Below are 19772 nucleotides of genomic sequence, written 5' to 3' on the forward strand. Positions count from 1 at the left end.
TATTTAGAATTGCAGAATGGCATTTGTGAAAACCCAGTAATGCTAACCAGTCATAGAATATATTGACCAATATACAGATATTATTTTTAAAGTCTTATTTCCCAGACATGGTTTAGTGGAAAGAAAGGCACTGGAGTCAATCTGATTATCTTCAGCATGTTGTTACATCTGTTACACTTCAGTGTCTTCATTTGCAAAATGAGCCTTCATCACAGACCTCTTTTAAGAATTATGATAACCAATGTGAACTTTAAGCTGTACAGACATCATCAATAGAAATTTTAACAAATTCTATTTTATCTTTTCCTTCTCTCCCTATCTAAGTCTGTTAAGTAACAATTTTGAGAATAAGTTATCAAAATGACTCTGTTGCAAGCCATCATTATTTTTCTTTCTATGCCTTAAACTTATCATTTATGTTACCTAACAGGAAAATGAAATGTTCTCCCTCGCTCTCTCTCTCTCTCTCTCTCTCTCTCTCTCCTTCCCCCTCCTTCCCTCCCTCTCTCTCTCTCCCCCCTCCTTCCCTCCCTCCCTCCATCTCTCTCTCCCTCTCCCTCTCTCTCTCTCTCTCCCCCCACCCCTTCTCTCTCTCTCTCCCTCTCTCCCTTTCTCTCTCTTTTTTTCTCCCTCTTCCCCCATCTTGGTGGTTTCTTTAAACAATTTATGTGAAATTCTGACCTCTAGTGGTCTCCCTTGAAAATAACAGCGATAAAATATGTACAGCTATTATGTATTCATAAAAAATTTAAAAGAAAAATAAATGGACACAAAGCAAAAGAGAGACAAGTTTTAAACAAAACATGTTAAAAAATGATTTTAACCAATAAATGTGGATGATGCTTTACAATTTTCAAGGACCTTTAAAATCATTGTCTTGTTTAATTTCCACAATTTCCCTATGTGGTACCAATTTCTTTAAACTTAGACCTAAGGAAACAATTCCAGCGGGGCCAAGGGAAGTGCCCGAGTTCTTTCAGCAGGTGGAATCTTGCAACTTGAACTTGACCCTGGGCCTTCTGGCTCCAAGTCCAGTGTCATTTCATGACATCCACTAGTTTATACTAGTTATATATCAGGTTAGAAAATACAGTCCCCCAGTCACATTTTGGTGATTAAAAAAATGTACAGGGCAAAGTCAAAGAACATGACATCACGAAACCTCACAGCCCGGCATTGTCTTGGGTACTAAAATATGCTGAAAATGATGGCATATCTCCTCTTTGATAATCAACTTCATTACTTCATTAATTTGTTTGGAAATAATGTTATTTTACCCTATTGCTTATTTTGATGTTTGCTAGCTTTTTAGTAGGGCCTTTTCAATGACATTTTTGTGTGTGTGACCTACAAGGTCTTGTTTCCAACTGGCTTCTCTCAGCTTCTCCCATATCATTTCAAACTGCTCTTTTCACTTTTGCTTTTCAATGGGCATGCTGGTCTTGGCTCTCCTTCCTGACTCAGGACGTTGGCTCTTGATGGCTCCTCTGCCTGGCCCACACTTACCCAGATCTTCCCAAGGATAGTTCCTTCTCCTCATGGAGGTCTTAGCTCAAATGCCATCTGTGCAGCAAGGCCATGCCTACCTACCCCTGTACTCTTTGTCATAGTTCCCATGGTGTTTTATTTTCACAGGCTTATTACTAAGTGAAAATATCTTGTGTATTGATGCATGTAGAATCAGTCCTGGAGTGCAAGCTTCCCGAATGGACAAGGATACCAGTCCTTCTTGCTGAGCATGGTTTTCTAAACCTAGAAGAGCTCCCGACACATAGTGGGTGCTCAATACATATTTTTGATTAAATGAATCTACCCAAATTTTCCATGAAAGACCCCCAACATTTTAATTTGAGGTATTAATCTATTAACACAACTATTTCAAAATATCCTCTAAGTATGTCCTGAAGTTGCTAAAAACCGTTGCACATGCTCCCAAAAAAGGACTACTCCTGGGGGCCATGGCCATTGTGCCACTTCTCCAACAACCTAAGAACCTCCCTGCCAGGGGCCACTGCTTTTCTCCTAATTACAACAGTGCCTCTGCTTCCCAGGTGCCTCTGTCTCTGCCTAGCCACTAACACACTGCTGCCTCCTTCACTAAGGAAGCCTTTCTGACGCTTCTGAGGACACTGTGATTCCCATGGGTAACCATCATGACTCCTCCACACATGTGGTCTGTGATCAAACCACAAGGCAGAGCAAAGCTCTTTCCCTTTCAGCATGACTCTAATCACCACATCCAATGGGGTGACAGGAGCAAGATTGCTAGCACACATTGAGTAGCTGAGCACACATTGAGTAGCTGAGCACACACTGAGTAGCTGCCATTCACCCAGCACTGTGTGAGTGCTTGACAACCATGTTTAAATTTAATTATTTCAATGGACTTTGAGCAAAAAGGTTTTATTATCTCAGTGAACTTTGAGGAAAAATACTTTATTATCTCAATGGACTTTTGAGAAAAAAAGACTTTATCATTCCCATTGAACAGATGAAGGAATTGAGGTAAGAATTATTAAGTCACTAGCTCAAGGCCACAGAGCCAGAAGAGGAAATTAAAACCCAGTTAAGTTCTAGTTGGGCCCTATGTTCCAATCAACCTGCTAAAACCACTAGCAAGCCAGAGAGGCCCCTACACAGTGTTGATGGCACCTCAGTGTTTTATGGGGCCAGAGGAAATGTCTACTTCAGTCTCTTTACTTAAAGCCCCCTTGGTCCCTGTGGAACTCCAGAGCACACACCTGAGTGTCAGACAATACAAGCTCTGCCCGGTTGCTGCTCCACTCTGATGAGAGAGGCTATGCCATGAGTAAAGCCTTACAGCACTCACCCCTATCCTCTGGGATAATTCCTTTCTCAGAAGACCTCTTAGCAACTGAAAAATAGATTTCTATTTGGCCATCCACTATTTTACTGGACATGGCTCTGGATCCCAGCAATTGACACAACTTGAATTATTTCCCAAGATACTTCTCAGCCCCCAACACAAATAGGACATTTTGTGACTTCCCCAAACGGATAGACAGATATGCCCAGGAAAGTCCAGATATTTTTCATACTCAAACTGGAAGTCTTACTACCTGTAAGGTCACCCTCAGGGATAATTTGGTTTAACTCCAGTTACTTTTACTTTTTGTGAAAACTGAGGCCCAGAGAGGTAAAATAACTTGTTCTAGGTCATGCAGCTGCTAATAGGCAGCAGGACTAGAACTAGAAATCAGATTCCAGATTTTTGGAGCAGGCATTGTTCCATTCTTCCATGTTACATCATTTTCCTCACCTTATATCTTTCTCATTAAGCATAAAATGATTAGTTGGTTTTATAAGTTAACATTAGAAAAGGAGTTCATGAGATCAATGTATAAACATGACACAGAACTATTCTAGCTCAGTCACCTTGATGCAAGTTAAGTTGCTGATTCTTTTCTGGTAACTATCAGAAAGGGTAAACAACTAGGTGTTTTCCCAAAACTTTTTATTAATTGTATTAATTCACTAGATTCTTTCATTATGTGTTTTAATATGTATTTTATGCATAAGGACAGACCAATATTTTCAGTGGTTTGTTTTTTTTTAACTTTTATATTTCAGTGTATCGATACTTAGAACAATTTTTCATCTCTCTTTTCCTTTAGGTAGATACTAAGAAGGCATTTCAAGTTTAGGTCATGAAAGGAAGAATAAAATTCCAGTCAATAAAAGTGTAGGTAAAGATGAATCAGGAAGTAGTACTAAATGGTAATGATAAAAAATGATTTGTTTCATTTTAGTATGAATTTAATAAGCCATGTCTCTCTCCAACTCTCTTACATAATAATTTGGATATGTATTAATCACTAGTAGAGATCATAGTAATATGCATTTATATGTATGTGAAGATCATGGGCTTTTATATGTATATATCATAGACTTTTATATATGTATATATGTGTATATATAAAACGTACATATATACACATATATACACATATACACATATATATACACGTATATATATACACACATATATATACGTGTATATATATAGTTTTGAATCTGAGCTCTGCCACTTACCTAGCTATACGATCTTAAGCTTAAATGTCTTCATCCATAAAATGGCCAAAACACTGAACTCATGGAGATAGAGAATAGAAAGATGATTAACAGAGGCTAGGAAGGGGAGTGGGGGGACCTAGAGACAATTAATGGGTACAAAAATAATAGAAAGAATGAATAAGACCTAATATTTGATAGGACAACAGGGGAACTATAGCCAGTAATAAATTAATTGTACATTTGTAAATAACTAAAAGAGTATAATTACATTGTAACACAAAGGATAAATGCTTGAGTATACCCAGTTTTCCATGATGTCATTGTTACACATTGCATGCCTGTACCAAAATATCTCATGCACCCCATAAATGTATACACCTACTATGCACCCACAAAAATTAAAAATTAAAAAAATTTAAAAATACAATGGAGATCATATTGCCCACCTCAAATGCTTATTTTGAAAATTGAGACATGTCTAGTATATAGCTTACCTATCATTTCTTTCACTAGTCTCCACTACTGTTTGTTACCAACAGCTCTCTCCCCCATTCCTAAAGAAAGGCTCATAGATTGTGAAGTCAGCTCCCCAAATAGAAACATACCAGGGAAAGACTGCTCCTTTCTCCTACTTATCACAATTTTCTGCCTGTTTTCAGTCTTACTCCAAAGTCAACTTTTATTTGTCAAGAGCTCACAAACTTGAGACCACCTCTTCTCTTCGCTGATATTGCTTCCTTTCTGTAGCTCTCCAACTGAGCCTGGCGTTCCTTATTAGTAAAATGGAAATAACAGTGGTAAATACGCCTAGGGTTGTCATGGGGATTGCATGAGTGAAAACACAGAAAACTGAACCTCAGATTTCTCATCAGTAACATGAGGATGATAATAGTGTGACTTCTTCATAGGGATGTGGTGAGGAAAAATGAGTTAAGCCGCGTAAAGCTCTTAGCACTTGAAGTAGTCTCAGGGGCTCTGTAAATAAGAGCAAACCATGGGAGAGCAAAACCCAAGGGAGAATGAGATTGTGTTTCCTGTTTATCGTTCTTCCTTCTTCCTTTAAGAAACTTTTCCTTTAGCTACTGTCTATGCCATACAGGCAGGCTATTCTACTGGCCTTGGGTCATTGATGATATATAGGCCAGGCACAAATTCTCTCTTTCTCTCTTACGTCTCTTGCTTATATTTATAAAATTCTACTTGTAGAAACTTGGTAACTCTGTTAGCATGGAGTGGTTAGACTCTTCACATTTCTTCATGATATTTCAACCCATAACCAGTGTGTCTGTTTTTTTGCATTATGCATTGGATGTGCAATAGCCTATCATTTAATACAATTCTTTAAATTATATTTTATAGCTTTCTCTGCTCTTTTAGAAAAGAATTGTACATATACACAGTAAAAATCTGACACTCAGAGATTCAAGTAAAGTAGCGCCTAACTAATGTGGGGTTTCTTTTCAAATTATTTACTGCTATTGTTCTTGATTCAACAGTTCTTGGAAGCATGAGTTTAGGTCTCTTGTGATCACTGGAAGACACTTGTATCTGTTAAACAAATTATATGAACAGGAGTCATTCTTTAGAATTTACAAAGGTTAATCCATTATTCTATTTAGGCTCAACTGACACCTATAAGGATCATCACTCTTATTTTAAGGAGAAGGAAACTAAAGCACACTGCTACTGCTCTTGCATGCGATTTGACCACACAGTTGTGAGTTATCTGAGGAGAAACCCTGTGCCCCCCATTCTACCTCCCTAACTATGAAGAGAGGACCCTAATCAACCCAACTGATGAGAGAAACTGAGCTCTGTTAAATGAGATGATGTCATCTCATCTCAAGAATGATCAGCCATATCTTTTTTTTTTTTTTTTTTTTTTTTGTGAGACAGAGTCTCGCTCTGTCACCTAGGCTGGAGTGCAGTGGTGCGATCTCGGCTCACTGCAAGCTCCGCCTCCTGGGTTCATGCCATTCTCCTGCCTCAGCCTCCCGAGTAGCTGGGACCACAGGCACCCACCACCACGCCCGGCTAATTTTTTTTTTTTTTTTTTTTTTTTAAGTAGAGACGGGGTTTCACCATGTTAGCCAGGACAGTCTTGATCTCCTGGCCTCGTGATCCGCCTGCCTCGGCCTCCCAAAGTGCTGGGATTACAGGAGTGAGCCACCACATCCAGCCAATCAGCCATATCTTAATAAGACAGGATAGATGTGCTGAGGACACAAAATTCTTTTTTTTTTTTTTTTGAGACGGAGTTTTGCTCTTGTTGCCCAGGCTGGAGAGCAATGGCATGATCTCTGCTTACTGCAACCTCTGCCTCCCAGGTACAAGCAATTCTCCTGCCTCAGCCTCCTGAGTAGCTGGGATTACAGACACCTGCCACCACATCCAGCTAATTTTTTGTATTTTTAGTAGAGATGGGGTTTCACCATGTTGGCCAGGCTGGTCTTGAACTCCTGACCTCAGGTGATCCACCCGCCTAGGCCTCCCAAAGTTTTGGGATTACAGGCGTGAGCCACCATGCCCAGCCAACACAAAATTCTTTAAACAGATAACTCTTATTATTATCTGCATTCAAGAGCTTATAGATTTTGAAGGTCATTTATTTGATGCTGCCCAGGGATAAGTGTATGTGCAAGACATTGTAGCATTGAGTGCAGTCAAAAATAGTTTTGATAGTGTGGTTCTGCCTGGCCTGAAATGAAACAGGATTTAGAAAAAGATTTTGCCAGTCAGAGCCAAAAGTTGTGAAAAAGTCATCTTTCTCTCATCAGACCACATACTGGGTGACCAAACGACAGGACAACCAAAAGAAAGAGGCCCATATGTCCAATGGGAAGTTGAGGGATGCAGTGTGGCAGCAAGTGTGAAAATATACTCTAGACAAAAGTGAAAGCTCCCAAAGAAATGTGCGTGGGTTGGGGGGACTTTGATACACCATAAAGGAAAGTCTCTGGAACCAATTTATCAGTGTCACCCTAGCACCATGCTTCACTTGAATGGCAAAGCTGGACAATGTCACCAATGATTCTGGGGCAAAGCCAGTGCTAGACCACAGCCACAGACCAAATACTCTGAAATAAAGCTCACATAAAATGTACAAAGGCAAGGGATATGACCTGCTTTCCTCAATTGGAGCACACTTAAGATGACATTTTACTTTTCCAATTAAAATGAGCTCGAAATTTTGATTAGCCTGGGTAGAGAATGATTTTTTTTTTTTTTTTTTTTTTTTGCCTCTCCATGATTTGGGAGACAATACCATGTTGGTATTATTCTAATGTGGCCTAGCCACACCAATGTTAAATTTTTTTCTGCTCCCTCTTTTTGATTCTGTAATATTTTAACTCTGAACAGAAGAGTGTATGCAAAACTAAAATGTCCAGCATTCTCAACTGCCAAGGTGTCCCAGCATCTGCCCACAGGGCTTTATTAATGGGAAGATAATCTCCTAAAATGGGTCATATCATTACCTCTTCTATATCCTTTCTGGTCTTAATTTTAGAAATGTAGAAAAATGACTGGGCAGTGGAGAGGGTAGAGCATGGAATTCTATAGCATCAAAAAACACCACCAGTGCAACAAAGTTATTGACTCAGTTTTCTGGTTAGTAAAGACTCTGAGTCTTAGAGCAAAGGATGTTCAATGGAGGAGGAACTAACTAAGTGTTATCCTGCCCCCTTTTCAGTGGATAGGATTGACATTTTAATAAGGTAGAACACAGAATTATTCTTTTTTTTATTTTAGCACCAATGGCTTCCACATAAATAATAACTTATTATACTTGTCTGCTGCATTAATCCATTTTATGTTGCCATAATATGAAGGAATACCTTAAACTGGGTAGTTTATAAAGAAGAGGTTTATTTTGTTCATGTTTCTGCAGACTGTACAAAAAGTTTGGTGCCACCATCTGCTTCTGGTGAGGGCCTCAGGAAATATACAATCATGGCAGAAGAGCAAAAGAAAGGACGATAGTGTCACACTCTTTCAAATAACCAGATCCTGTGTAAACTGAGAGTGAGAACCCACTCATTACCACAAGAGGAGCACCAAGTCATGCATGAGAGATCCTCCTACATGACCCAAACACAACCTACCAGGCCCCACCTCCAACAAGGGGGATTACATTTCAGCATGAGATTTGGAGAGGACACACATCAAACCATGTCATCTGCTAACCTAATTTTAATTGAACAGTGGGTTTTCTTTTCCACATAATTTTCATAGTTATTTTGCAGAAGTTGTGAGATTGTTTGTATCTGATCCAGTCAACCAAATGATAGTTTAAACCAGAGGAGCCAGTGGAAGTCTTTGAGTAGAACAACATTAGATTTGCTTCTTAGGCAGAGAAATCTCTTAGCAGGGTTGAAGATAGACTGAAGGATATGAGAAGGTCTTAGTGGGACATAAATGAAAGACAAGAGTTGAATTAGGGCTGTTGGAATAGAGAGAATGGGGTGCAATAGAGAGGTACTTCAGAAGTAAAATTGGGAGATTACGAGTTCTTAATTGTGTTTGAGTTACATGTGAACATCAATGGAAAATTCCAGCAGGCAGTTGGAAATAGATATCATAAATATTTCTGAGGCATTATTTTTCTAGAAAAACTAATCACGTAGCCCATCATCTTGACTTACAGTTTTTATATTTTGTCTCATTTAGTGATTGATGATTATCAAAGAGGATACTACAGTTCTCACAGATACCTGAGATGTTCATAGACTGAGATGTTGGTATACATAATAATACAGTTATCAAAGGTAATGGCAAAAACTGCAATTACTTTAACACCAACCTAATAACTACATTTAATAACAATACTACACTTTCTCCTTAAATTTGTTTCTAACTCACTTTGTACTGAAATGAGTTTGAGAGAGAATATTGTATGTTACATATACAGAGTGTTGTAAATGTTTAGATGCCAAAAGCATAAATCTGCTCTGGGAAAACGTACACACACACACACACACACACACACACACACACACACACACACACACACACACCAACCAGGATGTTGCAAATCTGCATGACAGGGTAAGGTCTCATAAAGGCTTCCTTCCCCCTTGTCCTCTTCCTTGTACCTCTTTCATTTCTAGTGACTAGAAATTCCTCATGGCCCCTTGGATGCTACTGGCATAATGTAATAATGTAATATTCTGGAGCTCTCACTACCTTCTAAGCACTCTTCTAAGCTCTTCATGTGCATGACCACATTTACTGCTCACAGCAACCCTGTGAGGGAGGCACTTCATTATTCTGACTTGCTGATGAGCAAACTGAGGCTTAAAGAATTTAAATGGGTTGCTAAAGTCCCATACCCTTTCAGTGATGGAGCCTGGACTTGAACCAAGCGCTTTGATCCCAGATCCTATGCTCTTAACAACTGCATTGCATTGCAGAAGCATGCCACTTAGTCCTGAATTGATGGGATTTCTCTTTGTTTTTGTTTCTATGGGCCTGACTGAGAATGCATTTTAATAATGAATGATATGTGAAGGCTGAAGGAAACCTGCCTAACAAAACTTAATGTTGCATTTTTCATTAAGTACAGTGTTAGTTCCCACCCTCCCACCCCCACCCACTTACTCAGACATGCAATGACTGCAAAATAATTGCAGGCTCCAAGTGATCGTTCTTTTTAAGCCAAATAAGCTTGAAAACGACAAAAAAAGATACTTTGTAATTCAGATAGGAGAGACTGTAGGATACTTGAAATCCCCAGTTGTTTTCTTTGCTAGGTTGCAGAGGAACTAGCTGAAGGGGAAATGAAGTTCATGGGTCCCTGGAATTGATAGGGCACAATTAAGGGGTGAGTTGAGATAATAATCACACCCATCAATGACCTGGCTTGGACTCTAGTAAGCACCCCATAAATGTTAGTGATTATCCATATTGACATTGATATTTTTATTAGATAAATTAATTTCCTTACATATTGTGTTTCCTTGCATTTGTTTAGCATGTTAATATTGAAAATGAAAACTATTCATTTTGTTTTCTCCTTCGATATTTTATCTTGTCATTTGGGGAGAAAGCAACACAGGATGAGTTAAAAGCCAAGTCTCCTGACTCCTGTGTCATTGATCTTTCCAAAGCCTTGCTTTGTTGGATGCCAGTTGTAACCTACTCATTTGAAAGACTGCGTTCAGTGTCTCCTCCCACCCCATCAAACTTCTGGGCATAGATCATATCTTGTCCAAGGTAATCCTGTATCGCTAGGACACAACACAGCTTGGTAGCTAGTAGAAATGCAGTAAAAATTGGCCAACGAACAAACAAGTAAGAAAATTGTGAGTTTTTGGACAACAGTCAAGAGCAAAGTGTAGAATATCTGTTCTTATCACAAGGAACTTACACTTTAATTAAATATTTGACATTAATACAAACAGTTAAATAATATTGCATTATTTAAATAATACTCCAAGGCAACAATTAGAAAATAGTAACAAGGAACCAGATGGTGAATTATCAAGGATATAACTCCATCAATAAATTCAGAGAAATTAGAATTTAACTTGAGACAGGACTTGTGGGTAGGATTTATAAAGAGATAAAGAGCCATAGTTCCATTTACATCATTTATTATTTATGTTTTATGTTGCAAGAGGGTTCTGTGCTTGTTGTAACATGTAACCTATGTAAGGATGTATAAAATGAAGATGTAAAGAAAAAGCTAATGATATCTCTTTTTACCATCACCCTTCCCTCTCTGAACCCTCTTCTCCCCCGTAGACATCATTAATAGCTTAGTATTAATACTTTTCTCTAATTTATTCCTTCCTTCTCTAAATGATGTCATACATACACAAATATAATACTCCCTAAGAGACTTTCTATATGTAACATGGAGCTCACTCTATATCCAAGAGCTTTTGCTAACTCCTTATTTTTAGTATCAGTATAATATTGTATTTTGAATATAATTTTAATCATGGTAATGTTACTGTAATCCTTTTATTTTTAATCGGTCCCATGATGATACATTTTGTTTGTTTACAGTTTTTGTTTTTGCCACTACAAACATTCTTATTTATCCATTTGTTTTTACTGTTACTCCTATAAAATAGGTTGCCTAAGGCAAATTAGGGTATGCATGTTCTTTATTTTAATCATTATTGACTATTATTTTCCAGAAATGTTGTAGCAATTTACATAGCCAAGAACAATGAATGATAACATTCAGCTATCTGCATTTACAGCATCTTTGGATGTGAATCTGATGATGAAATATGATACAGACTTATACATACATATATTTCTCTAATAATCTGGACATTTTCATCTATTATTTATTGCTTATATTTTTAGATATTTTTATTTTATTGTCCTTTTTGCAAATCAATTTTCAAAAGCTCTTTGCATATTAAAAATATTACTAATTTTTTATGCCTTAGTGTTTTTCTCCCTTATCATTCGTTTATAAACTTTGCGTATTTATATCTCTTTGAATTTCTCATATGCTATATATGTCTATCTTTCCTTTTATGACTTTTAGATTCTTCTCTAAACAGATTAATTGAAAATGAAAAAAATGTTTTTCGATGGAGGCAGGAACTGAAAGACATTTTGATGAACAATGAATGAACAGGTTGGACAGGAATAGAAGGTTGTGCAGCAGAGAAACTCCTGGGTTGTAATGAGTGTATATAAATTAAATGAGCCATTTATCAGAATGTCAGAAAATAATATGGGAAAGTTCCACTGATGCCAGCCTGTGAAGGTTCACATACTAGACTAATTACTTTGAAGTGGCCTATAAACACAGAACTGTTGAAACATTTTGAATTGGATAGTAGAATGGTGGAAATATGATTTAATAAAGATTAATTTGCAAGATAGTTGGGAAAAGTGAAGTTCAGATTCAAGGAAACCAATATTTCAAGAACAATTTATTGAACAGACACTATTCTAGGCACTTGAGATACATCAATGAAAATCGTTAGGAATCACCTGTAAGGAATATGGTTACAGCATAAAGACAGGAAGATGTAAAATAACAGCAGCAGGGATGGGAGGAAAAAGAAAGAGAGAGTGAACATATGATAAGAATCAAGATGAGAGTGAGGAAGCTGATTCGGGTACTGAGCCTTGGAAATTAGAGCATGACTGTAATATTGAGAGACAAAGGTAAATTAGAAGAAGAAAGAAGAATATGGAGTGGACAGAAGCAGTAGAGGCAGTGGTGTGTGTATTTGCCACCTGGGCTGCCTTATGAGATTATTGGCCATCAGCACAGACCTCCCAGCAGGCTGGAGTCAATCCATTAATCAGCCATTATTGAGAAAGACATTTCAATCAATTACAAACTCATTTGACTGTATTGTCATTAAGCTCACATTTATCTACCTTGTCTTTAAGGATGTTACTCCTTTTATTTTGAAAACAATTATTGAGCAATCACCTATTTACTGCTTCTCAGACTCTGTGCCAAGTGCTAGGAATACAGTCTATCATCCCTGACCTGTCTTATCACCTATGACACAATGCAATAGGACACTATAAAGTGAGAGGGGATTTCCCTCCAGGGAGTTAGTTTAGTTCTGACCATTGAAGACGGAGATGGAGGCAGGAAAATCTGTACTGAGAGGACTCCTTGGGAGAGGAGGTAGCACATGAGCTGAACTGACGAGGTACAAGAAGTTCAACAGAAGACAAAAATCCACATAATATTTCATTGGCGAAGACATTTTAGCACCAGCCTGCCCTCATATAAGGACAATTTGTATTTTAGCTTATTTTCTTTGTATTTACCTTACAGTGTAAGTTTATTCTGGTGGAGCTCAGTCTAAAGGATCCTATTTACTTCTTTCTGACAAAGAATAGTGGAGAGTTTGAAGTGTGGGCAGGTAGGGTTAGGTGTTTCCTCCTTTGTGCTCCCACAGCAGCGACTGTCAGCATTTCTCACAGTAATTATCTGCTTCTTTGTCCATCTTCTCCTGAGGCTTTGACCTCTTCCTGGGAAGGAACCTCTCATAATCATTATCTAGTGTTTGTACTAGTAAAGAAACTTGTGTTTGCAAGTGAAAGAGGTCAACACAAACCAAACTTACACTCGTCAACCAAACACACAGAGAAAAGCAGGGGAATTCATAGACCCATGTAACAGGAAGGGATTCAATCTGAGTTAGGTCCAGCTGCTCAAGTCACGTGTTCTGGGATGAGTCTTCACACCATTCTGCTTTCCCCTGTAATGACTGTAATGTGGGTTCTCTCTTAATGGTGTCAAAATAGATTCGGATTCTTCAATGATAGTCTATCCTCTCTGAGACTCCTGCAGAAAGAGCAAGTCTCCATTTTTGAAAGTTCTAAATAAAATCCTCAAAATGAGACTTGTGGGCTCTTATTGGGTCACATGTGAATTGCTGAATGAATTACTGTGGATACGGTCTAAACCATATGGATTGAGAATGAGTAAGTGTGATTTCCTGCAGAAAACTGTGGAGCTGTTAACTGAAGCCCAGGGAGTGGATACCAAGAAAATGAAAGCAAAAAATGCTCAGTATGCTTGCAATATTTATGCATCAGTGAGAGCACATTCCATGCAAGCAGCTCTTTGATGAATTTTACCCATAATCTTACTTAATCTTTAGGTAACTCCATGAGAAAAGGGTCATCATCCCCATTTTCCCGGATAGGAAACTAAAGCAGGAAGGTTAATTATTTAGTATAAGATTTAATGTAAGTTTAAATAATTTATCAAATAATTTGACAAATTACTTAATAAAATTAATTAAAATTAAATAATTTATTAAATTCAGTATATTACGTTAAAATGTAAGTATAAATTATTTAGTATAAGATTAAATAGCTGTTATATAGTAAATTCAGGAGTTGAGCCTAAGTATGTGTGACTATAAAATTCCTATTTTGTCCATTGTACTGAGCTTTCAGAGCAACGTTGCCAGGGTCTGGGCCTCCCTTTTCCACAGATAACCTGCCTCATGACAATGATGGTTGCAAACGTATAATGTCTACAAATTAGTCTTCATTCAAAATCCATGCTTGCTTGCTTTTTATGTTTTTATTAAAAGACATACAAAGAAAGCTTCCCCTAAATTTCCATCACAAAGCTATTAAAGTGAATCAAAGTAGTATGGGTCTCAGAGTGAGGGAGCCACCCCCAGGATGGGAGACTCTAGAACAGGTAAGCACTCTAGTTATTTCCAATTATAGATAAGAAAATGGGAGCACTGAGAGTTTAAATATCATAGCTAAGTTCACAGAGCTGATAAGCAATGTGATTAAGATTTGACGCCTGAATATGCAAGGTCAGGACCCTCCCCTGGGCTTCATCAATACGTCATCCCACCTTTCCAGGAATTACTCCCTTCTGTGAATCACCAGTGGAAATTTTTCTTCTTCCAACCACTCTGTCCAAGTCAGTTTCTTGATCTATCAGTTCTTTCAGAAGAGAAAATGGAATTATTTGTCATGATTTGTTTTCAAAGGACTTAGGCTTACTCCTCTGAATGTCTACTTCTCTTCTAACTACTCATTTCTTCCTTGTATGAGATTGTATATAGCACAGCAGTGTGGGCTTGAGATGAACAAGATCACAGAACTCTATCAAGGTGACTTTTTCAAATGCCTACAGCCCTTTAAAAAGCAAGATTGATATAATGATAATATGTTTATATAGGAGTTTGTTCTTACCCTTTAAAAACACTTACTGAAGTACTTAAGGGAGATATGTTCATGTCTATAATTTACTTTTTTAAAAAATATAGCAAAAATAAATACATGAAGCAATGACAATGTGCTAATTGGTAAATCTCAGTAATGGGTTTTTATCTTTAATTATGTGAAAAGTTTTACAATAAAGGGTAAAAAAAACACAGCCAAGTAAAAGAGTAAGTAATGATTATATAATAGAGATTGAGGTAGTGAATACTAAGAAATAATCACTTATCTACTTCTATTCTCATTAAAGCAGACACTGATGAGTTTACCAAATGAGACAGGCATGGTGTTGAACACTTTTCATCCACTGTCTCCATTAATCCACAGCAATCCTATGAGGTTGGGATTATTCTCTCCATTTTGGATGAGAAAACTGAGATTGGAAGAAATGAAATGGCTTGTTTCAGAGTACTCTTAACCAAGGCAGTGCACTCTCTTTGCCTTAGGGAAAGCTGTGCAGAAGTGGCTGACTTGAAAGAATTCAGGATAGCCAGGAGTAGGCAGGTTGGGTAGGTGAAGGCACCAAGGGAATGATAAAATGGATGAATGGGGAGAAGGCTAACAATAGCAGGTCCCAATGAGGCCTGAAGATTTCAGTGAAGTGATGAGGTTGAGGTTGGGGAAGTAAAAGTACTAGGGAGTGGTTTGTTTTATGACTCTACTGGTACATGTCATGTATGTAAGAGGTATGGGGCATAATTGATGACTACTGAAATTTCCAAGAATGAGGATGCAATTGGCATAGATGGGAAGAAGATGTAAGTAGGAGTGGGAAGGATATATTTTAGGCAGGAGTTCTTGCCTTGTTAAGAAATCACAACATACCAGCTATCCCATTCAATTCTTTATTTTTTCTTTCTTCTTCTTTCTTCTTCTTCTTTTTTTTTTTTTTTTTTTTTTTGTTGTTGTTGTTGTTGTTGCTGTTGAGATGCAGTCTCGCTCTATCACCAGGCTGGGGTGCAGTGGCACAAACTGCAACCTCTGCCTCCCGAGTTCAAGCGATCTCCTGCCTCAGCCTCCTGAGTAACTGGGATTACAGGCACCTGCCACCAGGCCCAGCTAATTTTTGTATTCTTAGTAGAGACAGGGTTTCACCATGTTGGTCAGGCTGGTCTTGAACTCCTGACTTCAAACAATCCACCCGCCTCGGCCTCCCAAAGTGCTGAGATTACAGGCGTCATCCACCATGCCCAGTCTATCCCATTCAATTCTAAGGCTGATCAGGAGAAAGGTTACTAACAACAACTCCCCAGTCTATAAGATTGTTTTGACAAAGGGAAAAGGATTTTAATTAATTAATTTTAGCATCTCCAAAATAATTCACTACTTTTTAATAAGTATTTCCTTTGAGTAAAGGGTACTGGCCTGGATTCCAACTAGAATTCAATTTTAAAAGACATTTTGCTAATTGGGCAGGGGGAAAAGTCCTATCTAAGAAAATGCGGTCAAATGTGTGCTGTGTTGGAATTCTGCTGGTGGCTTGGGGAGTGGGTGTGAGCAAAGCAAATAATTTTTGTAAAATTGAAATTAGCTTATTTCAGTTTATAGCTTTTCACTTAATTTTCAAATACAAGTGGCTATTTCTAAATGAAGTAAAATAGTGTAAATTGTCCTACTCATCCAGTAAATACAAAAACAAACAACTGTGAGCCAGGTCGGCGGGGAGGTGGGGGGGGTCCCTATCCAAAGCTTGCTTTTACATCTCCCTTCAGTTCTCATTAAAGTAAGTACCAAAGATCAAACAAACCCAGGACCCATGCTGAAGGCTAGGGCTCAAGTTGTTTACTTCATCTGTGCCAGAAGCCTGCTTGGCCACCAGGCTGGGATGCAGTCACATGGGTTGAAGGATAATAAATAATCCTATTTCACCCTCCCAGATCTCCATCAAGAGCCACCAGGGAGCAGTAGATCACTAAGTCACTCACCCGGCTGCCTCTGGTTAGACATTTGCTTGAAAACAAATGGGAAAGCTTATAGAAGGGGAAGAAGGAAGGAGAAAGAATAATGGCACCAATAATTCACATCTGTGTGGCATTTTGATTCTCAAAGGGCTTCACATATATGCTTGTTTTTATCTTGCCTTTTCATGAGCAGGACGCGCATCATTAGTCTCATTGTACAGAAGAGGAATCCAAGACCCAGAAATGCTAAGGCAGGAATTTGTTCTAAATCATCCAGCTTGTTCAGAACATGGGCTAGGAGGACAAATGCCCCTGTTTGAATCCTGGCTTTACCACTTATGAGTTATGTGACCTTGGATGTTACTTAACCTCTCTGTGACCCCATTTCCTTTTCTGTAAAATGGAGCAAAGGATAGTATCCATCTCAAAGCTTGCTGTGGGGATCAAATGATAGATTGTATGTCAAGTGCTAAGAACATTTTTGGCACAAACTATTTGATAAATACTGCTATTATATTTGTAGAATGTCTTATGGTTCACACAAAGTGTATTCAGTTCAACTACATTTATTAAACACCAGAGCCAGGCACTGTGCTAAATTCTGGAGATGCTAGAAAAAATCACTTATGATCCCACCATGCTTTGGGTCACAGGGAAATGTAAGAGATAAGTGGAAATACACCGACACATTTGGTATAAAGTGTTATTTTTAAGCAACAAAGGTAATTAGAGGGAGAATTTAGCCCAGTCTGGGAGTATTAGAAAGGACTCCCTGAAGGAAAATACTTTTCTAGCTTTACCTTTGCTAAACACCCTCTGGAAAAAAAGTGTAATTTTTGTCTATTCTATGAATGCATGGAAAAAAGCTCAGATAAGTTAAAGGACTTCCCAAAGTCCCTCAGTGAATGGCAAAGTGGTGTCTCAGTTATGCTACCCCATCCCAAGGATACATTTCCTGTGAATAAAGTCATTAAGTAATAAGCTGTTTTTTTTCTTTTCTCCCACTATCTTTCTTGCCTAAAAGGAAACAAAAACTATATTTCTTTCTGCAACCCCCCTTTTTGCCCTGAAAAATTTGGCACGGTGCCAAATTCTGTAAAATCCACCATCTGCTAAGAGTCACAGAACCTAGACCAAAAGGGACAACGGTATACCATGATGAATCTAGAGGGATAGAAACGTACATGTTGTGGAATCCTCATTTGACTACTAAAAGCTCTATGACAATAGGCAAGCAACTTAACCACATAGTCTCATTTTTTTTTCATTCATGAAATAGAGCAATACGAGTTTCCATCTCCTAGAATTGCTATGATGACTAGATGTCAAGTCCTTAGCTTGTGCTTGGCTGACTTTATAATTGCTCAATAGACATTCACTGTTAACTTTAGCTAGAAAAATGTAATCTACAGGAGGATCACTTGAGTCCAGGAGGTTAAGGCTGCAATGAACTGTGTTCACACCACTGCACTCCAGCCTGGGTGACAGAGAAAGACACTGTCAGAAAGAGAGAAAAAGAGAGAGAAGGAAGGAATAGTGGGAAGGAAGGAGAGTGGGAAGGAAAGGAAGGGAAGGAGGGAGGGAGGGAAAGAGAGAGAGAAAGAAAAAAGAAAGAGAAAGAAAAGAAAGAAAGAAGAAGAAAAAAATTTCATCTAGTTCACTCAATTCTTACCTCTGGTCTGACCACAGATATCACCTGTGCATTCTTTTCTGAAAGCCATCCTAGGAGGCATCTATAGCTTCCCTTGTAAAGTATTTCAATGTTTGATCAATCTCACACCTGGAAATCCAACTCTTCCATACATTGTCCTTGCTTTCACTTAAAATTTCAACATTCTGCACTCAGAAAAAAATAAAAAGAGACAATCTCTGGTCGTGTTTTTTCCTGGATAAATCAATGAACATCACAAGTTACTCTCGCTCAAACTGTCTCATCCCAAGAACTTCATTTTTGTCTTTAGAAGGTTTTGATTTTCCTCCTTTCATCTGCTGATGGACAGGGCTCTTTCATGCCCTGAGATTGCTGTGGTGATAATGCAGGTATCTGGTCATAATATCGTGTGTGTTGTGTTCTTTGTTTTCAAAGCACATTCACGTGCTCACCTTGTTGATCCGAAAACAACTGAGTGAGGCCTGGAGAGCAGATACTATCCCCACATTTAGGAAAGGAAGCATAAAGGAAAGAAAAACAGCAGCCATCATTGCTAAGCACTGATTGTATCCCAGGTGTTCTATGTCTGTTGTCTCATTTGAACTTCCTGAAAGCCCACTCCAGTAGGTGTTATCAGATCAATTTGCTGGAGAGAAAAGTGAGACTCAGAGAGGGAAGTTCTGTACTCAAATTTCTCCAGATAGTGAGTGGTGGAGCTGAGACTTCAGTCAAATCTCTCCTAGTCCAAAGCCAATAAACTCAATCACCGGCCTGTTGAAGATTTGTTCAAACCATCAGTGACTAACATGGCATTAAAATCCAAGACTCCTGATTCTCAGTCTGGGCATTGTTCATTAAACCATTCATTCAATCTTTAATTCTTCAAGGTGCTGGAGCTACAGTTGCCTATGATTAAGACAGTTGCCACTCATGGAAAACTGCTTTGTGGCTTCTCCATTCCTAGTCTCCTATTCTTAGCTTCCTAGGTCATGCCTACAATTTTGGAGTTCTCAAGCATGCAGTCAGAGAGTAATAAGTTATGTGTGCCTCTGTGTGTGTGTGTGTGCGTGTGTGTTTGTGTAAATTTTATGTTTATTGTCCATCCAGAATTTGCTAGATTCTACAGCAAGAATAAAGATTTGTCAGGCCAAACATCACAATTCAGCAACAAGAATATTTCTTCAAACATAGAGTTGGATGTGGAGAAAAGTAAAAAATATACTGGAAGTTTCTTCCTTTCACCTGATTGTCAAGTGCATGTGAACATACATCCATACTCACAGCTGGATTGTGAGGCAAGCGCTGAGCTGAGGGAAAGATTGTAACCATGTCCACCTTACCCTGGGAGAATGTGCTCATGTTACTGTTTGAGATGCTTCACTCTATCTCATTTTCTGTTTCAAAAGGAGATGATGGTGAAAAAGGAGATCCAGGAGAAGAGGGAAAGCATGGCAAAGTGGGACGCATGGGGCCGAAAGGTAACTAAAATGATG

At 38.4% G+C, this 19772-nt stretch overlaps 1 protein-coding gene across 3 annotated transcripts in view; it reads left to right on the forward strand.

Annotated features, from left to right (window-relative positions):
- The window catches only part of COLEC10 (collectin subfamily member 10), a 156193-nt gene that overhangs the window by 117732 nt on the left and 18689 nt on the right, over positions 1-19772 (forward strand). For all 3 annotated transcript variants that reach the window (NM_001324095.2, XM_005250756.4, NM_006438.5), the window contains one exon: positions 19686-19757. In NM_001324095.2, the coding sequence (NP_001311024.1) occupies positions 19745-19757 (13 nt within the window). In that variant the 5' untranslated portion in view covers positions 19686-19744. The remainder of the gene's footprint in view (positions 1-19685; positions 19758-19772) is intronic.

Source organism: Homo sapiens, chromosome 8 (genome assembly GCF_000001405.40).
Source record: "Homo sapiens chromosome 8, GRCh38.p14 Primary Assembly".
Taxonomy (NCBI): Eukaryota; Metazoa; Chordata; class Mammalia; order Primates; family Hominidae; genus Homo; species Homo sapiens.